The sequence below is a fragment of the Homo sapiens genome, chromosome 12 (assembly GCF_000001405.40).
Source record: "Homo sapiens chromosome 12, GRCh38.p14 Primary Assembly".
In the NCBI taxonomy this organism is placed as follows: domain Eukaryota; kingdom Metazoa; phylum Chordata; class Mammalia; order Primates; family Hominidae; genus Homo; species Homo sapiens.
In genome coordinates this window covers 15,556,952-15,581,494 of record NC_000012.12, presented here as the reverse complement: position 1 = coordinate 15,581,494, position 24,543 = coordinate 15,556,952, and the positions used below count along the sequence as shown (strand labels likewise).

Here is a 24,543-nt window from a genome sequence, read left to right as displayed (position 1 = left end):
TTATCATATCTAACTAAAACAGAGTTGAGGGGTCAGGGGACAAAGCACTCAGAATGCCCCAGCTACTCGGGAGGCTGAGGCAGGAGAATCGCTTGAACCTGGGAGGCAGAGGTTTGCAGTGAGCTGAGATCGTGCCACTGCACCCCAGCCTGGGCAACAGAACGAGACTCCGTCTCAAAAAAAAAAAAAAAAAAAAGAAAGCACTCAGAACGCATAACATTGTTCCAGGAATGTAATTCTCTGTAAGCCCCGGTTGCTGAAACTGCCTTTAGTAACTTGAAACCAGTGGTATCTAACAGCAACTGAAACAGCCTGTTGGGACTCTGAGACTAGTTTTACCCACCACCATGCATTCACCAATCAGAGCTTGCCAGCTCCCCAAAACTTTACTAGTGCTAATGAACTTTCCTGCAAAACAATATGCAATATTTCTCCTTTTTAGAAGACTTCCAACCTTCTCTTTTTTCCTTTAGACATTGCAAAGACCACCGGGTCTGTGTGTTTACCCCCAAATTCTAATTCTTGCTTCCCGAATACAATGTTTTAAATTTAGCGATTTGTCTCTATGTTTTATTTGACTTTGAAAACAGCAAGCATTTCATCAACGGCAGTGGCTAGGGCAGGTTTTGCTGCTAAGTGGGAGCAGTTTCAGTAAGTACGTACCCTCCTTTTCTCATTACACTGAGTGAGCATGACAATAATCTGAGACTTTTGTTGCAGGACCATCTTCCAGAAGTCATTTCTGGTTTCAGGCAGTGGCCCCTGGGTGGCAATATACTCCTGGGGTGAGTTGTATCCCTGAAAGATAAGTGACAAAATTATCACCTAACCAGACACTGTCAACACCAAATGCTGCTTCACGCCTATGGGAAAAAAACTGAAAACTTACTGGTGATAAAATTGGCAAAGGATCACACACCTATGTAATGTTTTCTCCTGTTTTAATCAAAGAGGCTATCAGAATAACTGACCATAATTAGTCTGTGTGATTGTAAGCATTGTTATCCAGAAGGCTGTAAAAATCACATCCACACCTTTTTATGACAATAATAACTGTCTTTATATTTTAAAAGTGCAGGTGCTAGGGTGGAACCCTTTGAATTTGGTTGCTGAATGTGAAATTTAAACATAAGAGAGGTGATCTTTAACCTTTCTACTTTCCCTTTCACTGGACCTTTATAAAGAAATAGAAACATTAGTAATCTATGGACTTTTTCTTTCTATTCTTTATTATGAAACGGAGTAATGCAAACTTTTTAGAATTCAATTGCTGGGTTGGGAAAGGCTCTCTTTTGAACTGTTTGACACATCCATATAGCCCTGCTAGTCTTTCTCTGGCTGGTTAGCTTTGGGATGCCTGATTTTTTTTTTCTACTTACAGGAATATAGTTGGCATTGATGTAGTCTGCACCTTCCTCTTCATTCATGGAGACTAATCTCACACGGCTGAAGTCATCTGTAGAGAATAAGGAGAAAAAAATATTAAAATTCAAGATGGAAGGAAAAATTATTTTGGCCCTTTCTATCCAATATTAAGTTAAATCAGTCAGTGACAGAGTAGGCAGATAATAATTTTTAGCCTGATATTTTAGCTATTCTTCAACTTTGGTTTGTTGTTTAAATAAATAAGTGAATATCTTCCAACCACTATTTTTTTTTCACTACCAGCTCTCCTGTCCTTGAAAGAATTGTTTCCAGGATTGTTTAGGTGTTGTTCAGAGTATTTCAGGAACTACAATATCTGTGAGATTGATTGGACAGCTATAGTATATAGCCTAAGCACACGATTTTCATTTCACCTAGAGATATCCAGAGAGTTCACTACTTTAAGGAGACCTAGAGAACAGAAGATGCATGGGTTTCTTTTGTAGGTGGACATTAAATTAAAGAAGTAATTTCTGAACTGTGTACAGATGTGAAGTGTTATTATGATAATATATCTAATTTCATCAAGAAACCATATCAAGAAGAGACTTCTCTTTCTAGAGCTTTTTCAGCCTTTCTCTTCTCACTTTTCCATTCATGCCTAGCTCCACAGCGTGTAGCAGAGAGAAAAGTGAAATCTAAACTGGAATGTATTTTAATTGTTTTGTAAGTGCTTTATATTACCTTTTTTTCCTTGAATGCTGCTTTTTATTACAAAATGCTAAGCAACTATATAACTTGTCAGAAGTTAGAGAAGGCATTTTAATATACTGCATCGCCTTCCCATTTGCCTCTTTCCATTACCAATGAATTGGCTGAAAATATTTTATGAGAGTACAAATGATCCAATCCCCAATTTGACTGTGGCTCTTTAATCTCTAAAGGGCCAAATGATCAGTCTTTTTGTTCAGATGCAATTCATTTAAAAGCACAATAATTAAATCTTCCTCCATATGCTAAGATCTAAAGACATCAAAGGAGAGTGAGATCAATGCAATCTCAGACGTGGCCTTGAGATCCGGACCACAAGTGGGTATGGCCAGAGATTGGTGAAATTGATTAATCTGCAATGACAGTCCTTCAACCCTTAAGACATGAGTGTTATTGGCACAATTGACGATCTTACATGGTAGGATGTTTGTGTAACGGTTTTTACATCGATTCAGTGGAAGATCTGCAGCAAAGTGTGGGATATCCAGTCCAATCAATTTCAACTCCTGTAAAGGACAGAGAATGGATTTGAGAGTTCCATACGTGGTGTGAATTGGATTATTGTTCAACTGGTTTATTGCTCACAAGCCCTTTGCTATATGACATTGCAGTAGCTCCCTTTAGAGGTGGAAGGTACTCCACCCCACTATCATCAACTTGCTTTGGCCAATGATCTTAGATAGAAATCAAGTCCACTCAGAAGCTTTCAATGCACTTGCTTGTTTGGTTTGCCCTCTTGTGTGCCTGCCATCTACCCTGAAAAAGACATGCCCAGGGAAGCTGCTAGTCCGAGAATGAGGAGGCACATAGGGCAGACCTGACTCTGACCCACAGCCTGAAGCAGAACTGCCCCAGCTGTTCCACAGACCCATGAGTGAGAAAAGTAAATGTTATTGTAGAGATTTTGAGGTTGTTTCTTATACAGCATTATTGTGGTAATAGCTATCTAATACAACACATAAATACCTTGGATAACTTAGTGGTCATTTGGAGAAGTAAGAACTATATGTATAACACTCAGGGTATGAAATATTTGAAAATAAAAATGCATTTCAGATTTTTGGAGGAATAGAGTAACTTAAGTTTATGCAATTTGTATAAATATTTCCTATTCTCTGAAGAAATCTAGGCTTTTTTTTTCTTGTAGGCAATGAGCCTTAGAGAAAGTAGTAAAAAATAGTGAGGAATGAGTAGGGAACAATCTCCATGTTACAAAGTATGGGATTAACAGTCACTAAATATCTGGTAATGAAACCTCAAACATAAAGATGGATCTGTAGTTGTTGGGGAAAATCCTTCAGTGAGAATAAGAACATCCAAATGTCTGCCTGCGTATATTGGTACTCTTATAAACCTCATTTCAGAAGGTGAACTGATGGGAAATTTTTATATAAATAACTGTCACACTTCAAAAAGGGTATGTTATGGGGAAAGGGGGATTTCTAAGTTGCTATGCCATGTGTCTTACAGGAAACGGGGATTACGGTCAGGCCACCTGTATTTCTTGGAGGCATCATTCACATTGTGGTCTATATGAACGGTGTTCACTGGAGTTGTACAATGTGCAACCAATGCAGTGGATCTAGTTATATTCCTATACAAATGTTAGAGGAATGTTAGTAAACAGTGTACATAACTGTGTATAAGTGGGATTACCCACATAGTGTGCATCTTTCTATAAGACTACTAAGCGAGGCAAAAATCACTTGTTATAAATTTTATTTACATTTATAGAATGTTAATATTGAGCACAAGTTTTACTCTTCATAATTCCTCCCAATTATTACTTCAAGGAATCAAAGCTGGAGGAATACTTCCCTAGGAGAAGAATTTCGGAGGGTCTTTTAACACTGTTGAAGAGAATTGGAGCCACTTGACCACGTTCTAGGATTGAATAGGGATATCTGTTTCATGCCCTTTGTGTCTTTATTCAAGTGCTCTTTGCAAAGCACATGCTTTATTAATCAAGTTATTGGGTCTTCTGATGCTTTTAACTAGAAGATCCTTGGTGGCAAATTACCTTGCGCTTAATGGCATTGGGTTGCCTGACTGTAGCCAACATGGATGAACCAACAAAAATTGCCCAGATTTCTCTCTTCCTTTGATTCCTCATCTCTTTTGGCTTTTCAAGATGACAATATCTGAAGTTCTTTGGACTAAGTTGATGTCAGTTTTATATACAAACTATGTTACATTTGATTTTCAACTCACAAAATTGGTTTTTTCCATCTCAGGCACTTACTTGCCAAATATATTTAGGCAGATGCTTCCCATTGTTATTTTATAACTGAGTGTTCCATTTTAAAGGGTATTCAAAGGTTGACTCTATTTTTCTTGTAAGAAGCAACTTATTTTTAGTAAATTTCAACTAAATCAGTGTGATGTTTAGGTTAGTTCCTTTTGGTAGTTATAAGTTTATTTAAATGATGCTTCCATTGCTTAAATTATTTCAGAAATCTACCTCCTTTAGAAAATGCCTGCATAGATATTTTTTCAAAATATCTCACATATTCTGACATGCCACTTATAAACTGTATGTTCTTGGAAGGGTAGTTAAACTCTTTTAAACTTTGCTTTAATTACCTGTAAGATAAGGCTAGTAATTTCTCCACACCTTCCTTTTTTATAGTGATTATCAAATGGAATAATTTAACTCAACAAATACTAATACAGCACTATTGATGATCATTGTAAAATACTTTTGTGATGATTCTTTGTTTTGCTTTGCCTGGCTCCATAATTTCTTCCTCCTCTGCCATTTATGCCAGCAGACCAACAACTCTTCCCCCAATTCTCTTGCTTTGGGGACAGACTGATAAGCCATGGGAAAAGGCCTCAGATACAAAAGGAATGGTGGAAACAGATTGAGGCTGAGCGTTTGAGCACATGTGGAAGCTGACTAACTGACAGAACTTTAATTGTGGAAGCTGACTAACTGACAGAACTTTAATTGTGTGTTGCCTTCCTGCTGTAAATACTCTAAGTTGATAAGAGAGGTTTAATTGGCTGAACACTGTAAGTGGAAGTTGCCAAAGTTGAATTGCAGCAAAGTGGGAACTGCATGTAAACACAGTATGCTTTGAAGCCTTTGTAATTTAGCCTGTCACTAAGTGGAAAATAAAATATTAAGTTTCCAGTTCAGCAGCTTTGAAGTTATTTTCTTTCCAACCATATGGAAATTCCACTGGCTTAAATCTTTATGAAGACAAACTATGGAGTGATGGACCTGAAACCCACATAAATCATTTCTGAATTTTCTTTTGTCAGTTTTGTTTCTAAATATAATTTATCACCCTTTTCTTCTAGGCTATACAGTCATCTGTAGTGGGTTGAATGGTGATCCCCAAAAAGATACGTCTACCTCCTAACCCCCAGAACCTGTGAGTGTGATCTAATTTGGAGAAAGTGTCTTTGCAGTTGTAATTAAGTTAGAGAACATGAGATGAGATCATCCTGGAGAAGAGGAAAAGGCATGTAAAGATGGAGACAGATCAGAGTTATGCAGCTGCAAGCCAAGGAATTGCTGTGGCCAACAGAAGCTGAAAGAGGCAAAGAAAAATTCTTCCCTAGAGTCTTCAGGGGGAGTGTGGCCCTGCTGACACCTTGATTTTGGAATTCTGGCTCTGCAATTGTGAGAATAAGTTTCTGTTGTTTTAAACCACGACAATTGTGGTAATTTGTTATGGCAGCCATAGGAACTAATACGGTCACCCAAACCCAGTAGCAGGCTACGTTTTGTTGGCTGTGTTTGAAGCATACAGGTCTTGGAAAGCAAAGCACAAGCATATACATTACATTAGTTGGCTTGGGCTGCCATAACAAAACACCATAGAGTGATAGTTTAAACAGTAGAGATTTATGTCTCACAGTTCTGGAGGCTGGGAAGTCCAAGATCAAGATGGCAACAAGGTAGATTTCATTCTTAGGCATCTTATCTTGGCTGATCCTGAGACAGTCAGGTGGGAGGGGGTCCTTGGAGAAATTCCAACTAGCCTGCTCACAGAGGTGGAGCCTCGGGAAGTTCACCATGTTTGCAGTGGGGAAGGAACCTGGCCTCTCCTCTTCCTGTGTGGAACCTGAGATTCAAGCTGCCAGTGGGAAGTGCTCTAGCAGGGACTCCAGCCTAGTGAGAGTCCCTGTTTCTCCCTTTTCTTCCTTTTCACCGAATAAAACCCTGTTTTACTCACCCTCCAAATTGCCTGTGAACCTAAATTTTCATGGCTGTGGGATGGACAAGGACCTCATCTTTAGCTGAACTAAGGAAAAGTCCTGCAACAATCCTACCACGAAGTCCTCACCCTCATGAGCTTATCTAATCCTAATTACTTAGCAAGGGCTCCATCTCCAAATACCATTGCATTGGGGGTTAGGGATTAAACATAGGAATTTTGGGGGGCCACAGATATTCAGCCCATAACCTGCAATATCATCTTCTGAGGAGAGCACAATCTGCATTCTGGTCTTAGGGTTTGTAACAATGTCAGCAGGTGAGAGTTTGCTTTCGGTGTTTGCTTTGGGATAGGGTGGACATTATGTCTTGAAACCCAAGCATAACTATTACTGTTTCTGAATCGCATGATTACAAAAAATCCAACAAGTCATTTTCCAGTAAACACATTATTTTAGTTGTGAGTGACAAAAACATAGCTCAAACTAGTTTAGACTAAAGGAAAGGGGGTTTATTCAAACAATACTAAGATTACTAGATTACGTGTCCATAAGGGGTGGAAAAAGTGAGGAGAAAGAAAGTGCCAGTGGTGTTGACAGAAGAGGTTCCATCTATAGCAAGTAAAAGCTACTACCAGAAATCAAAGGTCACCTCTTGTGAACTGCATGGCCAGTTCTGTAGTTTTGTTTTGATCTTTGCAGCCACATGTCTGAACAGAGATGGTGAGGGCCTTTACTAGTATCCTGATCAAACACTAAGCACAGACATTAATAGCAGAATGAGCAATATGTGATATGTCTTCTGGGCTCTCACATTTCAGCTATAAAGTCTGGTTCTTCAAAATCTTTCCCATGTGAAATGTAAAAAATGAGGAACCTATTTTAATCCCTGGGTCCCAAGACTTTTAAAGGAACGGTGTATATTTTTATCAGAAGGATAATCAATCTTTCTAGCAGATTTAAAATCAGATTCAGAGTAAAAAAGAAATTTATTCAGTAAACACAAATTAGTAACTCATATAGCTTCATGTATGACTTATGGCTGTATTGGTAGTATCTATAAATCCAGACATTAGTTTCAATCTGCAAAATGCTTATAAATGATGTGATTTCTCAATGTGAATGTGATATTTCAATGTCAGTATCAAAATGAATACAAATACTAGGCATTAATATAAACAGAACAAGTACAAGTTCAGCTGCTGGAATTATCTAGACCAAGGTGATTTGGCCATCTCATACCCTCTTGAATTCTCATTAGAGTTAGGAACATTTTTTTCCTTAAGTCTCAATTAACTATCAATGTATTTCAAAAAAATGTGAGGGCTGCCATGTGAAAGGTCCAGCATACATCCTGAAATCAGGCATGGGAGCACACTACTTCTATGAAAATTGATGAGGAAACCCTGACGCTGACCCTGAGGATGTAGGGGGCAGAATGGGACTGAGGACTGGTAATATCTGAAGTCTGTCAAATGAAGAAGGAAGTAAATTGGACCAGCGGGCCACTGCTTGAGCAAATGTTAGTCCAAAACATACAGTCTAAGCCTGTGACTTAAAACAGAGCCCTAGAGAGTAAGTTGTATTTTCCTACCAGAATATGTAAATAATGTCAGGACTTACCACCCAATTAATTACATATATGACCAATAATGTTCTAAGAATAGAAATGTATGAAGAGAGCATCAGAATAAATAACAATATTAAAGACTTTAAAATCGTGGTGTAATGGTTAATTTTAGACGTCAACTTGACTAGGCTATAGTGTCCAGTTGCTTGGCCAAACACCAGTCTGCTGCTGTGAAGGTGTTTTTCTCATATGTGATTAACATTTACGTAAGTAGAGTTTGAGGAAGGCTGATTATGCTACGTAATGTGGCTGGGCCTCATCCAGTCAGTTTGAAGGCCTGATGAGAAGAGACAGGTCCTACAAGGAGGGAGGAATTCTGCCTCCCCATTGCCTTCAAACTCAAAACTGCAAACTCAACTTTTCCTTGGATCTCCAGCCTGCCAGCCTGCCCTTCAGGTTTCAGACTTGTCAGCCTCCATAACCTCAAAAGCCAATACCTTAAAATAGATCTCTCTATATATACATCATATTTGTTCTATATAAACATCCCATTGGTTTCTCTGGAGAACCCATGACTAATACACATGGGTTATAAAGCTTGATTGTAGCCTCATCCCATATTTAACCCATATTTCTCAATCAAACACTTTCGGCCTAGGACAATTCTCTATTGTGCGGGAATGTCCCACTCATTGAAGAGCATTTAACGCCTCGTCCCTCTTCCATAAAATACTGTTAGCATCCTCCTCCTAAGCTATTATAACAACCAAAAACACTCCCACACATTTTCAAATTTCATCTGGGGGCTGACTGGTACTTGTCCAGTTGAGAACCATTGATCTAGTTCAACTCACCCATTTTATACATAAAGAAACTAAGGTGATGAGAAAATGTACTTAAAAAAAAGCAGAACATGATTATTTTTTAAATACACAACTTCTGTACAAACTCCAAATAAAACCCCAATGTAAAAAAATGAGAAAAAAATGGTATTTCATTTTCAGCCCTTCACAAAATGTTAACCTCTTTAATCATAAATCAGCTGTTAGAAATCAGTAACAAAATGATGAAGATTATAAGGTACATGAAAATAAAAGAAACAGAGGAAAATGAAATAACACAAATGACTAATAGTGCTATATGAAGATGATGTAGCTTAACGTTAACAGATGAGAAAGCAATTTCTTTGTAATATTACATTATCAATGATTACAAATGTTGATATCTACTCTTTGTATAGTTTTAGGAAGTATATACTATACTATACTGTTTGTATAGTTTTAGGAACACTGGGAAAACTTACTCCACTTATGGGAAATTTACTCAAAATGCAGATTTTGTATATACTTTGCCTGGGCAGTTTCAATCCATAAGAATTATTCCAACAAAGTAGTTGGATAAATTGAAACTTATACATGAGCATGTTCACTACATAAAAAATCTGTAGCTAATACATCATCCGCCCCCAAGCCCACCCCAAACTCATTATATATCAATTGGTTAAGAAAAAAACATATTTTTTAGAATGTTAATTAGTAGCAACACTGTAGTGAGGATTCAGGATTTTAGATTCCTAGTTTAGCACATTTCTTATAAATCCTATGAAGTCAGGCTAAATGTATTCATTTATCCATTGAATGAATAAAAGCCCTCAGCATATTATAAATTGAACATTTAGCACATAAAATTTATAATTCTGCTTTTCATATTTTTGTGATATCTAAAGATAGCATGCTAATCGCTTATGGTTTGGTTCTCCCAATACCCTCTCTTTATTGGGAGATAATGCCCTTCTTAGGTTTTGCTACTTGAGCCCACATGGTTCCATTTAGAGATTCTGTGCATCTGCCCTCTCTGGCTGTGATTGGTTTGAATGGGCACCATGACACAGGCTCGTCCATCAAAATCCTCCCCTGTTAATTTTCAAACTACAAACAAGAAAGACAGACAGTAATTCCCTTTGGAAACCATGGAAACAAAAGGCTGTGGTGCTCAAGGGTTGTTGTTGGCTGCTTTTCACTATGAAAAAGAGGTTGGGCTGGGCATCGTGGCTCACGGCTGTAATCCCAGCACTTTGGGAGGCTGAGGCAGCTAGATCACAAGGTAAGGAGTTCGAGACCAGACTAGTCAATATGGTGAAACCCTGTCTCTACTAAAAATACAAAAGTTAGCCGGGCATGGTGGTGGGCAACTGTAGTCCCAGCTACTCAGGAGGCTGAGGCAGGAGAATCACTTGAACCTGGGAGGCGGAGGTTGCAGTGAGCCAAGATCGCGCCACTGCTCTCTAGCCTGGGCAACAGAGTGAGACTGTCTCAAAAAACAAAACAAAACAAAACAAAAGTGACAGAAAAAGAGGTTGTTTGTTGTTTCACTGAACACAAACATCTGCCCTCTCTGGCTGCGTTTCTCTTTGTTTCTCTTTGTTCAGTGAAACAAAGTGAAACCAAAACAGAGAGAGAAGCAGAAATGAGAAATAGAGGGGCCCCTGGCTCCAGTCATCCCTGAAACTGTGCTGCTTCCCTGCACGTAGTCTAGCTACTCAACCTTTTCTTTGATTGTATGAGATACCTTAGTATCCTTTGAATAAACCCCCTTTCCTTTAGTTTAAACAAGTTTGAGCTATGTTTTTGTCACTCACAACTAAAAGAATATGTTTACTGGAAAATGACTTGTTGAATTTTTTTTCATGCAATTCAGAAACAGTAATAGTTATGCTTGGGTTTCAAGACATAAACTGTGAGTTGCCAGCAGAGGTTATGATCCAGCTGTGCCACCAAGGGCATGCCATCTTGAAGGAATTAAGAAAATGTGGCTTTAATAAGGTAAAAGTGTAGCTATACCATAATTTCTATCATCGTTAGAATCATCTAGCTATTTATTTTTTCAGAGTTTTGCCTCATGTTTGCTTAGAAAAAAAGTCCTCCTTTCCTTGATATACTTTCTGAAATGCCATCCTCCTCATTCATTTCCAATTCAAATTGAATTTCTTTGAGTATAGCATTTGGTGTAGCATCTATAATATCCTATGCACCTGGATACAATGGATAAGTGAGCAGGCTCTGTGTGGAATTTTTCAGGACACAGGTGGTAGTTAGCGGTCTTTGTATTTGGTAATGTATAAGATTCTTCTCATCCTCAAATTCCCCATTAGTGTCTCCACACCAGGACCACTGATGCTTTTTGCAGACTAAAGCTGTCCTTGGCTGAGAAGTGGAAAGGAGAAATGATTTTAAAAACTGAAGAAAAAGCAGCTACCTTAATAGAAAAGAGCACTTAAAAGGCTTTATAAAAAAAAAAAACTACAGAATTTAGAAAAATCACTTTATCTTCCCCTTTTCCCTGAATCACTGACCACTCAAGCCATGCTATAGAAACCTGAAGGATGGGGGGCCATTTAGACTGTGTTATGAGCTATAAAATATGTAGAAAGAAAAAGTGAGAACTAATTATCTTCCCCCACACTGCTGAGATATTAGACTCACTCACTTCCATCTCTTCTGACATATGGTTTTAGATCCAAAGAAATATGTGTCCTTCGGAAAAAAAGAGATGTTGTCAATTTTTTTCTTAACACAAATCATGTGTAACTTTATCTCCCCAATTTGTCCAAGGAAAGAAAATAAAACTGCACAAAAGTTATTAAGTAGAATGCCAGGAGTCCTATAGCTTGAAAAGCCCTACTCCAGGATGTTATGTGCCCAGGACACAAAGGGGGTCAGTTTTATCCACTATCCGCCACTACTGTGGCCTAAGAAGCATGAGAAACACTACAAATCCCCTGAAAGGGAAATTCTGTCTCAGGCTTCATGCCTCAGCTTGCATTTTTCTTCTTGTACTCTCGATTTCCCTGGTTTTCAATGATGGCTTCTACTATACCCATGTTTGCTCACCTCAGTACCTGCACCTATTCTCTTCTTCCCCTCATCTCATTTGTGCCACCTGAGGCCTTGCCTACTAAGCAAGGATTGACAACCCTTGCTCTAAACCAGCAGATCAGCAATCCCCAGGCCAATACCCTTTTTGTTACGCACTGCCAGTGAGCAGGGACATGACCGCAACACAAACCCCCCAATTCCCAGGCCCTTTCCATTACAGAAGGTAGAAAATGCCTTAACCAACTCACCTCAAACTGAAGAGAAAATTTATAGTCAGAGTCTTTGGCCATATCCTTAATATAGGCATCAAAGTCATCCAGTTGAACCGGGCTTTGCCAAACACAAAGAAATATACATACATTTTAAAATTCTTGTTGATAGGTATTATATATTGTTTAATATCATACTTCTTAATCTTCTTGGAGAAAATAGAAGTTTTACTTCTCTAAGGTTAGCACTCACCTTTTTTTTTTGGTTCAAGTTACCAATCCTTAATATATTGCAATTGAAAAGAAGGGCATATATATCCAGCTTCCTTGATAGGAGAAATCTCTAGATTTCCACTTGGCTCTTACTGTAGCAGTACAGTAGTATATATATGCATACTCGTATACACACACCCCCATCTGTGTTGCTTCTAAAAAACTCTGGCATATGGAAAATAACAAAGGAATGGATTCCAAAGACCTGTTTGAGTTATGGTTTTGCTTTATTGACTGTGTTATCCTAGAGAATCGCCTAACTCTTCAGAGTCAATGTTCTCATCCATAAAATACAGTAGTTACAGCTACAGGGTTGACATACAGTACATAAAGAACTTTGTAAGTTTCAACAGCTTTACAAGTATAAGGAATTGTGCTGCTAGCTACAGTCTCCCCAAAGCAGAGGCAGGATCAGTGGGATGAAACTTTTGTCCAGAAAGCTCCCAGGGTCTCACTGGAGTGAGTTATCTTTAGAGGCTTGCATATCTATAAAAGTATGGAAATGGCTCAGAGGTTCAATCAAGTAACACATCTGAGCTATGTTTCTGCATCCGCAGCAGAAGTTCTCACTTTTTTTTGAGAATAAGAATCAAGTTTTATCTCCTGTAGTTTTCTGTAGCTGCTTATCTCCTCTAGAGCCTACCTAAACCAATTTGCTCTCTAAAGTAGCTCTCTGCTTCTGCAGAATTCCACATTCTGTCATCTAACTCAAGCCTTTCCACTTTGGCAGGGTCTTTATAGTTGACCCTTCCCTTGGTCTTGTGGTGTGTTACTCAGCTTATATCATCTAACTGTGGTCTTTTTTGTTTTGTTTTGTTTTGTTTTGTTTTGTTTTGAGACAGAGTCTCACTCTGTCACCCAGACTGGAGTGTAGTGGCACTATTTCGGCTCACTGCAACTTCTGCCTCCTAGGTTCAAGCGATTCTCCTGCCTCAGCCTCCCAAGTAGCTGGGACTACAGGCAGGTGCCACCACACCTGGCTAATTTTTGTATTTTTAGTAGAGATTTGGTTTCACCATGTTGTCCAAGGTGGTCTTGAAATCCTGACCTCAAGTGATCCACCTGCCTCAGCCTCCCAAAGTGCTGGGATTACAGGTGTGAGCCACTGCACCTGGCCTAACTGTGGTCTTATGTCCAATTAGAAAATACATAGTATTTAATAATGCTCATTTAAAGTTGTTGATTAGCTAATCTGATTAATTCATTTATGTTAACATTTTAGTAAATTTTAGAGGGCGTTATATCTTCCAGAGAATACCTTTAAACTGAAATGTTTTTACTTAATAACAATAACTCATTTATAAAACACGCTACACTTCATAAATAGTCACATGCATTATCTTGCTTAATTGATCCCTGAGGTAGGAATAGACAACATTAGCTCCATGCTCCAGCTGAGAGAGCCACGGCTAAGAGAGTTAAGTGAGTAGCCCAACATCACATGTCTACTAAGCAGTAGAATTCTCACTGGAATCCAGGGAGAGTAAGTCCTGGTTCAAAGCTTTTCCCACTTCAAACTTGTTATCCTTCCAAAAGAATGGGCTAAAGTTGGGACTCCTCTCCTGGAATGAACCCCCTTAGAACTGCACTCTCTGGCTGGTGTCTTTGGGCAGTGTATCGACCTTAAAGTTGGATTTAACAACTCTAGCTTTCATCTTGTTACTAGGAAAATGGGCACATGTATACAGAAGGCAAACCAGACAAAGTATTAATGGGTTAAAAGAAGTAAAAGCAAGAAGCAGAGGGAAAAGAGAGAGAGAGGAAGGAATAGCAAACAGAAGAATGGACATAAGGGAGAAGGAGAATGACAAGGAGAAGAAAAAGAAAGCTGGAAGGGAGTAGAGACCAAAAGGACAAATATCTACAGAGGAAAAAGAAAAAGAGGAGGTGATGGAAAGGAAGGATGGAATGAAGACAAGTGGAGATAGAAAATGGGAACCAGGGGGATATGGTAGTGGTGGGGCATTTGGAGGGAAAGAGAAATGGTAGAGAAGGCAAATAAAAAGGTGAGAGGAAAGCCTTTCAAGAAATGTCTTCTAGAGAAGGAGAGAGGAGTCAAAGGAAAATGAGAGGGGGGAAGGTGGAAGCCGAATTGATGTGAGTTTTTTTTTGCTTGTGGGTATGTTCTACCACTCCTAATCTCTACCCTATCTTTTGTCTGGGTCTTGCTTCTCCTTCTTTTCTTTGCCTGAGTCATGGGAGGAGCAAGCCTTGACAGTCTCTCCTTTTCGTCCAAGGACGCTATCTTCTAAATGCTCTAGTCTCTGCCTCTTTAGCTCACCTGCCAACCCAACCAACAGTTTTTGGTAACAAAGTCTTTCTGTTTCTGTGAAATCATCCCTCCCAGGTGATGGTACCCTCTCCTCTATTCAGTCTGGTCTTATCTCTCCTACATCAGTTGGTATAAGCCAGTGGAATGTATGCTGGTTTGAAATTGACTTAGAGGCTGGACACGGTGCCTCATGCCTGTAATCCCAGCACTTTGGGAGGCTGAGGAGGGTGGATCACATGAGGTCAGGAGTTCGAGACCAGTCTGACCAATATAGTGAAATTTCGTCTCTACTAAAAATACAAAAATCAGCCAGGCATGGTGGCGTGTGCCTGTAGTATTAGCTACTGGGGAGGCTGAGGCAGGAGAATCACTTGAACCTGGGAGACAGAGGTTGCAGTGAGCCAAGATTGTGCCACTGCACTCCAGCCTGGGTGACAGAGCGAGACTTCATCTCCAAAAAATAAAATAAAATAAATTAAAAAATAAAAATAAAAAATGAAATTGACTTAGAAAAAATTATTCTGTTTTCATATATGCCATAAAATTATATGCCACTCAAGACTAACTAGAAACATTTTTACATCAACTTTTCTTTTGGATTATGTCATGGATTACTCATGATTTCTTTCCATAAGCATAGATGCCACAGACCTGGCTGGACCCCCTAATTTCCTTCTTGTACTAATTCACCAATGTTCTATCCAGGCAGGTATCAAGAACAAACTCTATATAAAGGAAAGTTCCACTTTTCATATGTAGAATTATAACTAAGAAAAGGCATGGAGGTGATAATCTAATAGGCTTTTGAAATCAACTGGGGGTTAATTTTCACTTACCACAATAGTAATTCTTCTCATTTAATGGTTTAATAGATAAGGAAAACCACAGGCTAGATTAATTATCTTTTCTATTTATTATACAGGTTTCTTGAGAAAGCATTATCAAAGTATCTATTATAACATCAAATAGAGTAAAAGCCTTTTCCTGCAATAAACACAGAATTTCAAAATACTAAAAGGATTTTTGAAACCCTTTGATGTAGTTAAATATTAGATTTTCATATACTGTATTTAGAATACCATACTTCCTCCTCCAAGACTTTAAAAATTGCTAACGATCCACTCTCTCAGATTTGATATGATAAACATTGTCCTTATTTCTGATGTGATTTCTGTGATACACTTTTCTAGTGGCCACTGCCACTCAGGCATAAACAACCAGTACATTATTGTGCTTAGCTATTGTAATATGCATTTGCCTCTTTCTTAAGCGTCCCTTCTCTTTGAAGACAAGCAATCTTTAATTGGAACGTTAAGATTATTATAACAAACATCCTTTTAAATGACATAGTAAGAAAAACTTACTTTGTCAGTTTCCTCTTCTTTAAACCATTTTTACTCCTGATAATTAAAAAAGAAAAGACAAATTTATCTGGGCAGAAGAATTGATTAACATAATAATTAAACTTGAACAGCTTTAAATAATTACATCAGGTACCTCAGTTTTATTTAATTTTCATTAAACACATATCAGGTTTGTTTACTTTTCCTTACATGAGAAGATAATAATAATTTCAGATTCATTTTTTAAAACTCTACTAGATTGCATGAACATATCTGCACTTTATACTTCCCATTTGCCAAAAACTGAGTTCTAGAAATGAAATTTCTAACTGCTGTTGATTAAGTTGCTAAAGCAGTTTGTAAATATATAGAAGTATCTATCTACCACCTGAACACTCCAATTTCTACAGGCAGGAAGGAAGAATGGGGGAATAAATGGAGAACTAATAAAGAGACGGTGGAATGTTGTTTTCTTAATTAAAGACTAAAATAACATTTTCTGACATTTTTCTCTGGGGATGTGAATGTGTGCTGTCAGTGTGGACATGTACCTTGTATAATTCTACTATGGCGTTGTTTTTATTCCATCTTGAACTAATTTTTAAGCTATCTGAAGAACTGGACCTATTACCTGCTTGCTCTTCATCATTACTAGTCTATAAGCTCAAACACAGGAAATGCTAATGCATGCTTTAGTTAGTTACATTTGTTTAGGAGATAATTAAGGTAATGATTTTCACCCAACCAAGTAAGATAACTTACCTAAGTTAGCTAAGGCTAACAGTATCTATTGAAGCACTTTGTGATTGTATTCTTATTGTTGTCTATAAATAGTAAATACAGAAACATGATTGACTGTACAAGTGATGTTACAGCAAACTTTTTTGCAAGTAATTTTCAGAGGTCTTTACATAATTTTGATAGAAGCACCCAACTTTTCAGAAAATAAACAGTCTATAGTAAATAACCAGTTGTAATCTTAGTACTTTAATGTGTCCAAATATTTATTTATATTTAAAATTATGAATGTTTGGATATCTCCACTTCCTGAAAGCTTTTAGCAGGACGAAGCAGTACTTTGTGCTTTCACAGCACTTTGCAAACGGAGAGTTTCTCACATTGTGTGATTGTTAGTTGCAGGTACACACCTTGCTACACTCACTATAGCTTCCCCCCAGGGCTGAGCATAGTTAATGAAACACCTAGTGGGTGGTCAATAAATGCTTATTCAGTTGAACTGAAACAAAATAATCTCTGCCATGTTACCCTCTGAATTTCACCTAATGATTCCTTTAACAATTGAATACTAGACTTGGGCTTGTGATGTTCTGATTGAAAAGATGGGACTTGTGGATGAAGAGAAAATAATGCAGGTCAAGAAATGTAGGAACACGTCCACGAAGGCAAGTGGTGTTTGTGGTTTTCAGGTAGTTTTAATTTCTTCCCACTTCTAAGTGAAAACAATCCATTCAATGGTTCTTGTTCTATTTTTTCTCCCTCATCCTCTTTGTCTTCCACACTTGAGATTTAGAGGGAAAAATCAGTCCAGTTTTTACTTTGCCTCTCCCTGATCCCCTCAAAAAACACTATCATGTTGGACATAGCTGTATCTTATAGGCATTTGGGAACCTAAAGGAATATTTATTGATCATGTTTTTTATTCAGCCCCGTGATGGTAATTTAGTTAGTTTTAGGAGTTCCACATTTACTTCCTGTAGTAAGAGCCAATTACTTCAGTGCTTTCGGAAAGCAGAATGTCAGCGGAGATGACTAACAGCTCTGGTAAAGTCAGGAGGCTGCCAACACATTTTGTGATCAGGAGTGAACAAAAAAATACTTTCCTATCCAAACAGGCTTTAAAAGAAACTAGGAAGTAACAAATGTATGTAAGAGGGTAACACTGAATAAATTCAGTGCTGAAATATTAAGCTGCTACTACTCGGCAGCTGCGTAGAAACTTGATTCATGGAGGAGAGACACATTTTTTTTCTTTCAATCTCATTCATTATTGAATGAACTTTCAATATAACGTATAATTCCACTACATGTTTTGTATGACATATTATCATATACTTATTGGCATAAGTAATCATGATTTGTATACAATTTTCATTGTTCTATTTAGATCTTGCTGATTCCAAGGAGTTTCTGTATCCTAAGGCTGTGGAACATGACAGGATTGAATTATGAAACTCCACAGCAACACTGATAAAATGTTCCTACATTTTCAATTGCTGTGCTAATTCCGAGACTAAAACCAGGGGAAAATTCACGCAAATTAAGGCTTTGCTAGCAATTTTAACTTAAGCACATTCTGGAAAGAGCCAATATGTGCACATGTTACAGTGACGATTTTGTGTGACATGTAGGGTTCGCCTTTTCATTGCAAAAGATTTTCCAAATCAATAAATAACCCCCATCAGACATACCTACAGCATATATGCATAGAGGATTGTGCACTTTTAGTTTTTTCTCTTTCACTTATATTAGGTAAGGTTCAAAATCCTAATGACTTCAAAAAGTTAAGATACATTCTGCATAAATTAGCCATGGTTATGACAGTCTTGGAAAGCCATCCATACTGCAATTCATTCCGAAAAAGCAATAGCAAGGACATGAGATTTATAATAGTTAAAACAAGACAAAACAAAACTCTAAAAGTCTCCAATTTTGTAAGTGCTGCTTACTCTTTGATGAGCTAAGCAGAAACCATCCCCAAACCTTAAAAAGGACTTTAGTATATTATATCATTCTTCAAATAGAATGTGCAATCATCAGGAGTAAAGCTGAGCATTTTCAACTAAATGCCACTTCTTGCTTAAAATGCCAACTGCCTAGGATTGAGAACAAGCAGATAAATACCTGAGTACAGCATGAGGGTCATTATGGCAGTAAAAAAAAAAAAAAAGATTTAACACTGAATCTAGATATAGCTAGTTCAACTTAGATGATTTCTTTCAATAGGAAACATACTCTTAAGTTCTGAAAGTCAGAAATCCTTGCAGAACACAATCCTGAGACCAACCTAACTGGGTACTGGTGCTCCACACTGATTCTGCTACCACCCCAGGAAGAGATTCGAGCAACACTATGAGAGAGAGAAAGAGTTTTTTGATTTCCACACAAACCACTAGTGGCATCAGATGGGTTTTAGAAAATCAACAGGAACATATATTTCCAAGAAACCGACAGTTTAGAAAGGAAGTTGGACAGTGTGTTAGGCAGTGTGCGTCTGGGGAGATGGCTCTTGTTATTTGCAGCTGTTGTTCACAGGGTAGGTGAAATATGAAGACAAACACATCATTAGGAGGATTAAAAATGACTCTTTAGCCAATGAAAGCAGGGGAAAATAACCACAAGTTATTAGATGAAGCAAACAGGGAATTGGAGTGGTTGTGTGAGTAGAAGCTGTATTTCCACGAGCGGGGAGCATGAATTTCACTTCTTTTGTATCTGGCATTGTACAAAAGGGCTGAGAACATAGTTTATATCCAGTATGTTTTTACTAGTTGATATGTGTGAAATTTACTGAAGTTACAGAAAGCATGCAGCTCTATGTTTTACCTTCTCTTCTCAACTGGAGACAACCATTTACAGTTTCAAGGTGATTCTTCTAAAAATTACTGAAGGGTATTTTCTCCCCATAAGTTGGGCCTCGTGCTATTTGATTGGTATTAGAAATAGCAGACCTTGTGAGGGTTGCTGAAATTTGAGCATATGTTCATCAATGAGGCCTATTAAGGAATACATGCTTACTTGCACAGGCCTACCTTACAGAAGCTTAAAAACGCACTGTGGAAAATGAGAAAGTCTCAGAGAATTAAGCAAGGAAATGATATATGCATCTTTCTTTCATTTTATTTGCAATCTGGGATACTTTATGGGTATTTGCTGTTAGTATTTTAATGGTAGGCACACTATTTGAGGATGATTAGTAGATGTTCAGTTAAAAGTAAATGTATATTTTGAAGGTTGAAATGGAATTTATGTGTGCTATTCATACCTGAAAACTATTTGATGTCAAATACTGAAAATACGGAGTTGACTGTGCTGAAGCCCTATACTAAAAACTGTAACAATGAACTTAGAATAACAGTGAATGGGTCCTCAGCATCTAGCACATTCCTCTGACTTTATTACCTACACATCATGTCTACTTTGTTTCAAAAGCTTTCCTCTAGTCTCTTTTTTTAAAAGAAGATATGAATTCTGGAATTAACAATCTCTATTTTGAGGAAATCCTTTTTTATGTTCCTTCCAGTGCAACTTGAAATCCTAAATTCTGCCAGCTGTATTTATTCTGTCCTTGGAGGAGCTGGAGAACATTTGGTCAATTGTCTTTTTGAATAAATAAATGCTCCAGATTGCTTTTCATACCCGCACCACCACCCCATAAGCTATTTTTTTTCCAGTCTATGAGATATTTTTATTGTTTTCTTCTGAGACCTTTTCAAGTTGTCCACATTTATGGATCTGTCTGTACATAATTTAGTACCTAAACACTAGGTATTAATATTTAAGGACAATGATTTTCTTGTCAGTTCCCCTGGAAACTGCTACCTTTTATCTTATAGCACAGGAAAAGAAAGAGTTCTTAATTCTTTAGTCTCAGAATTCAAGGTTACTGTTATCATTACATATTAAAAAGTCAAAAGGAACACTTCAAGATTTGATTATTAAAATGATCCAGAAGTTAAGAAAATAAGAAATTAAAGGAGTCTGCTCTTTACAGAGGAAAGAATAGATTTCAGAGAGACCTGAGTTTGGAACCTGGATTCTGTACATAGTGGAATGTGCTACTAAGACAGTAAATCTCCGTAAGCCCCTATTTCCACATTTCTAAAATGGGACTAGTAATACTCTCTGCAGGATTGCGGGGGAAAATTAAATCAGATAATCATACAAAGAGGCTTGCGTATAGTCAGCTGTTTAATAGTCACTGAGTTAGCATTATTATAAAAACAAGGAGGCCTCAGATACAGAGGATTGTATAGACTCTGATTTCTCCATCTTAATGCATTTCTACCTTCTTGGAAATTTGGAGCTCTCTAATGGATGAAGATGATAATGGAAAATGGAAAGCATTATTTGCAAAGATGAGAGGCCAATGGATTGACTCAATGAAGAAACAAATAACTAGTACTAAATGGGAAAAAACGCTTGCCAACAACATCACGGAAAAAAATTTAACGGAAAACCTTATAGTTAATATCTTTGTACCGGTAACTGCTTTAATTCACTTCAATACATGATTAATAACTTTAGATGTTACTGAACATACAAAATAGTTAAAAAGAAACTTTCCTTTTTGTTTACTTCTTGAAAGCTAACTTTTAAAGAGTTTGTGTTAAACAGTAAAAAAAAATCACTTACCAAGGATTAATATAAAATGCCAAAAGATAATCAGTCCAAAGACATGAGGGTAGCAGGGTTAAGAAAGCAAATATACTCCTACGCCTGTGTGCATTAATAGACAACAGATGGAAAGATGAAAAAGTTGCAAGAGTTAGTAATATAAACTGTGAATAGATATCAGTAAATTACCTATTGGGATTAATTAATATGACAAGCACCTTAATTACAATTAAATATTAATCCATTCTGTGAAATATAAATGTGCGGGCTTAAATGCTACAATATTGACAAAATCAGTTTTTATTCACACATGACCTTATTGTAATCAGATATATTTCTTTCAACTTACTTTGTGTTAATTAGTCTGCTACCAGGTGATTACATTTTGCATTCAGTTAAATGAAGCACTTATATGCCTCATTAGTTATCTTGAAGCTTATTCTTGGATATTATTCTTCCTATGCTTAAGCCTATTTTAAGAAACCTCTGTAACATCATTTGACAGCTAAACAGCAGCTTGTGTGAGAAAATAAAAATGGTCAGTTTACATATACTGATTCCGGTGAAGACTAAGCTTTTAAGAGACATTCTTAATAAAGCTGCACTACTAGGTGTGACTTTCTGTATTGTTTTTAAATTACTATAAAATTTATAAATATAACCCTTAAAACAGAGGTATGGATGATACAAGGATATCATTCATTCAAGATAAGTAGCTCATCAACTACTTAGTCTGTGACCTCACTGATATTCAGCTAAGTAGGAGCAAAATAGTTTAGCTTCACTTCAATTCTAATTCAGACTGTTGATTTAAATGCCTGGTTTCAGATATTCAAACCACTTGTCAAATAGAACACCCATTAATATAGATTTTAAAATATCCTGTGACTGCATCTATAGTTATTCTGAGAATTAGGGGGAAAAATACTGTCACCTTGTCACTTCAGTTATTACAAATCTTCACTGAGATATCTATTCTCAGTCAGCTAGAAAATGCTAGAGTCGGCAAAACTGTCTTTGTGAAGAGCTGCAAAATGTGCTTGATTTTATAGAAAGATCCTGAAGTGAATTCTTTTTTGCTTCAGCTCTCCCATGACTGGTCTCCCATAAATTCCATGAATTGTGACTGGCTGTGAAGTTAGTTAATATCTATCTCTCATGAGTCACAAGTATTAAATACATATAATTGGATTGGTTCCTAGATGGGCCACTCATCACTGATCTCCCATTGGGCCTCCCAAGGGTGAACCAGGCATGAAACAAGTATCAGTGAGTCAACCTCTTAATTTTGGAAAGAGTGCTAATATATTTGAACAAACCTAGTAACGTTTCCTAACTTTTCACCATCAAGGGTTGATGGATTTCTTTTTCTTCACAGTTGGGTTGTTTTTTAATAGCAAAATTCTACTCATGTTAAAATTTTTAAATGGCACAACATATTGCCTTATTAAAAGAAATCTGGTTTCAACTAGATTTTCAACTAGAGTGAGTATCAGCTACACTGAGGGAAGTAAAATTTATATCCTAAATAAAGTTCTCCCTCCCTCATTGATTCTGTAAAATTTCCAGTCTCCCATGTGTATTTCTTTAAGATTAACCATTTTAGGGAGTTAGTAAACAGAAAGAAATAACTGAACAATGATTAATATGACATATATTCATTTACATATACTTTGCATAGTTTCTTGCAAAAGAAACAAACTAGACCATGTAAGTAGTACATGTTAGCTTCATGTTAAATGTTTACTTAATTAGTACTTTTGTTGGGCATTGATTGAACTGGATAGGATTGTTAATCTTCATCTATCATTGTCAGGTATAATGTCAACCAATTTAATCTCTTGACAATGCTCTTTAAAATTCGAACACTTCCTCCTTCCGGGTCCTTAATACTCAAGCATAAAGAAAAATGAAGCCATGTTTTCTTATGAAACTTCACTGGCTTTGATATTTATTTATCTGTAAGCATGAGAACTGAATACTGGGCTGTACAACTTTTTAACAGAAGTGGTGGCTCTTATTGCCTCAGGCACTGAAATGTGAGTTTAAAATGGAGATGCTGGGTTGGCATGGGGGCTCAGGCCTGTAATCCCAGCACTTTGGGAGGCCGAGGTGGGAGGATCACTTCAGCCCAGGAGTTCGAGACCAGCCTGGGCAATATAGTGAGACCTCATCTCTACAAATATCTAAAAATTAGCCAGATTTGGTGGTGCGCGCCTGTAGTCCCAGCTACTCGGGAGGCTGAGGTGGAAAGATTACTTGAGCCCAGGAGGCAGAGATTGCAGTGAGTTGAGATCATCCTGCACTCCAGCCCGGGTGACGAAAGAGGGAGATTCTGTCTCCTCAAAAAATACAAAACAATAAAAAATAAAATAAAATAAAATATAAAATAAAATGGAGAAGCCGATCTGTCGCAAGCTGCTTCATTGGAATCTCTTCTCGTGCCTTTAGCCACCACTTGTTCAGCGGCGCTCCTGCATTTAAGCCCTTTTTCAGCACAGGTATGGGCTCCTGCGTGTGCACCACTGTTTCAGTCCCTTGTTTAGTATTGTAAATACAGAGCAGACCATGATGCTTTCCCTACTTCAGAACTGCACTGAGCTTATATAAACCATTATATTCTGTGAAGATCTAGCCATTGAAAGTCTACCATCACCGAAATTACAAAAGGATAATCAGACAAAACTATCCCCAAAGGATAGTAAAATCGACTTTGGAGCACACACAGCATAGTTAAACTATGTAGAAGCTTGTTCCAAAACAATACTCACCAGTTGTATGGAAGCTTTCCATCCCTCTCTAAGGATGCAAAATTGACAAATGTACCAGCTCCACACTCCCTGTTTTAAAGGAACCACAAAATCAAGGTTACTGCTTGACAAAGCATTCTTACGTTGACCTAAAAGTAAAGAGAGTCTTTACCAGCTTATCATCACAGCATTAAATTAAAAAAAAGAAGAAGCTAGGCCAGGTGCGGTGGCTCACGCCTGTAATCCCAGTACTTTGGGAGGCCGAGGTGGGCGGATCACCTGAGGTCAGGAGTTTCGCCAACATGGCGAAACCCTGTCTCTACTAAAACTACAAAAATTAGCTAGGCGTGGTGGCACTTGCCTGTAATCCCAGCTACTCGGGAGGCTGAGGCAAGATAATTGCTTGAACCTGGGAGACAGAGGTTGTGGTGAGCAGAGATCGCGCCACCGCACTCCAGCCTGGGTGACAGAGCAAGACTCTGTCTCAAAAAGAAAAAGAAAAAAAAAAAAAACAAAATAAAAGAAGCTAATAGAAGTTCCATATGTTCCCTTTTGGCATACAATGCAAAACAGAAAGCTAAAACGAAAAGAAA

At 37.6% G+C, this 24,543-nt stretch overlaps 1 protein-coding gene across 9 annotated transcripts in view, besides 1 other annotated feature; it reads right to left on the bottom strand.

Annotated features, from left to right (window-relative positions):
* The window catches only part of PTPRO (protein tyrosine phosphatase receptor type O), a 275,824-nt gene that overhangs the window by 16,837 nt on the left and 234,444 nt on the right, over positions 1-24,543 (bottom strand). For 4 of the 9 annotated variants that reach the window (XR_931316.4, NM_030667.3, NM_030671.3 and 1 more), the window contains 7 exons: positions 23,972-24,040; positions 21,219-21,302; positions 15,867-15,902; positions 11,997-12,078; positions 2,552-2,642; positions 1,380-1,456; positions 664-798 (listed from right to left, as the gene is read on the bottom strand). Coding sequence is in view for 7 of the 9 variants with exons in the window: in NM_030667.3 (NP_109592.1) it covers positions 664-798; positions 1,380-1,456; positions 2,552-2,642; positions 11,997-12,078; positions 15,867-15,902; positions 21,219-21,302; positions 23,972-24,040 (574 nt within the window). In the remaining 2 variants the exon portion in view is untranslated. The other 5 variants (XR_007063106.1, NM_002848.4, NM_030670.3 and 2 more) reach the window with 2 other exon arrangements.
* Positions 10,265-10,454: an enhancer, noted in NCBI's record as "active region_6068". NCBI's record gives its function as "activates an Ori minimal core promoter by ATAC-STARR-seq in GM12878 lymphoblastoid cells {active_cell/tissue: GM12878}" and the evidence as "EXISTENCE:reporter gene assay evidence [ECO:0000049][PMID:35858748]".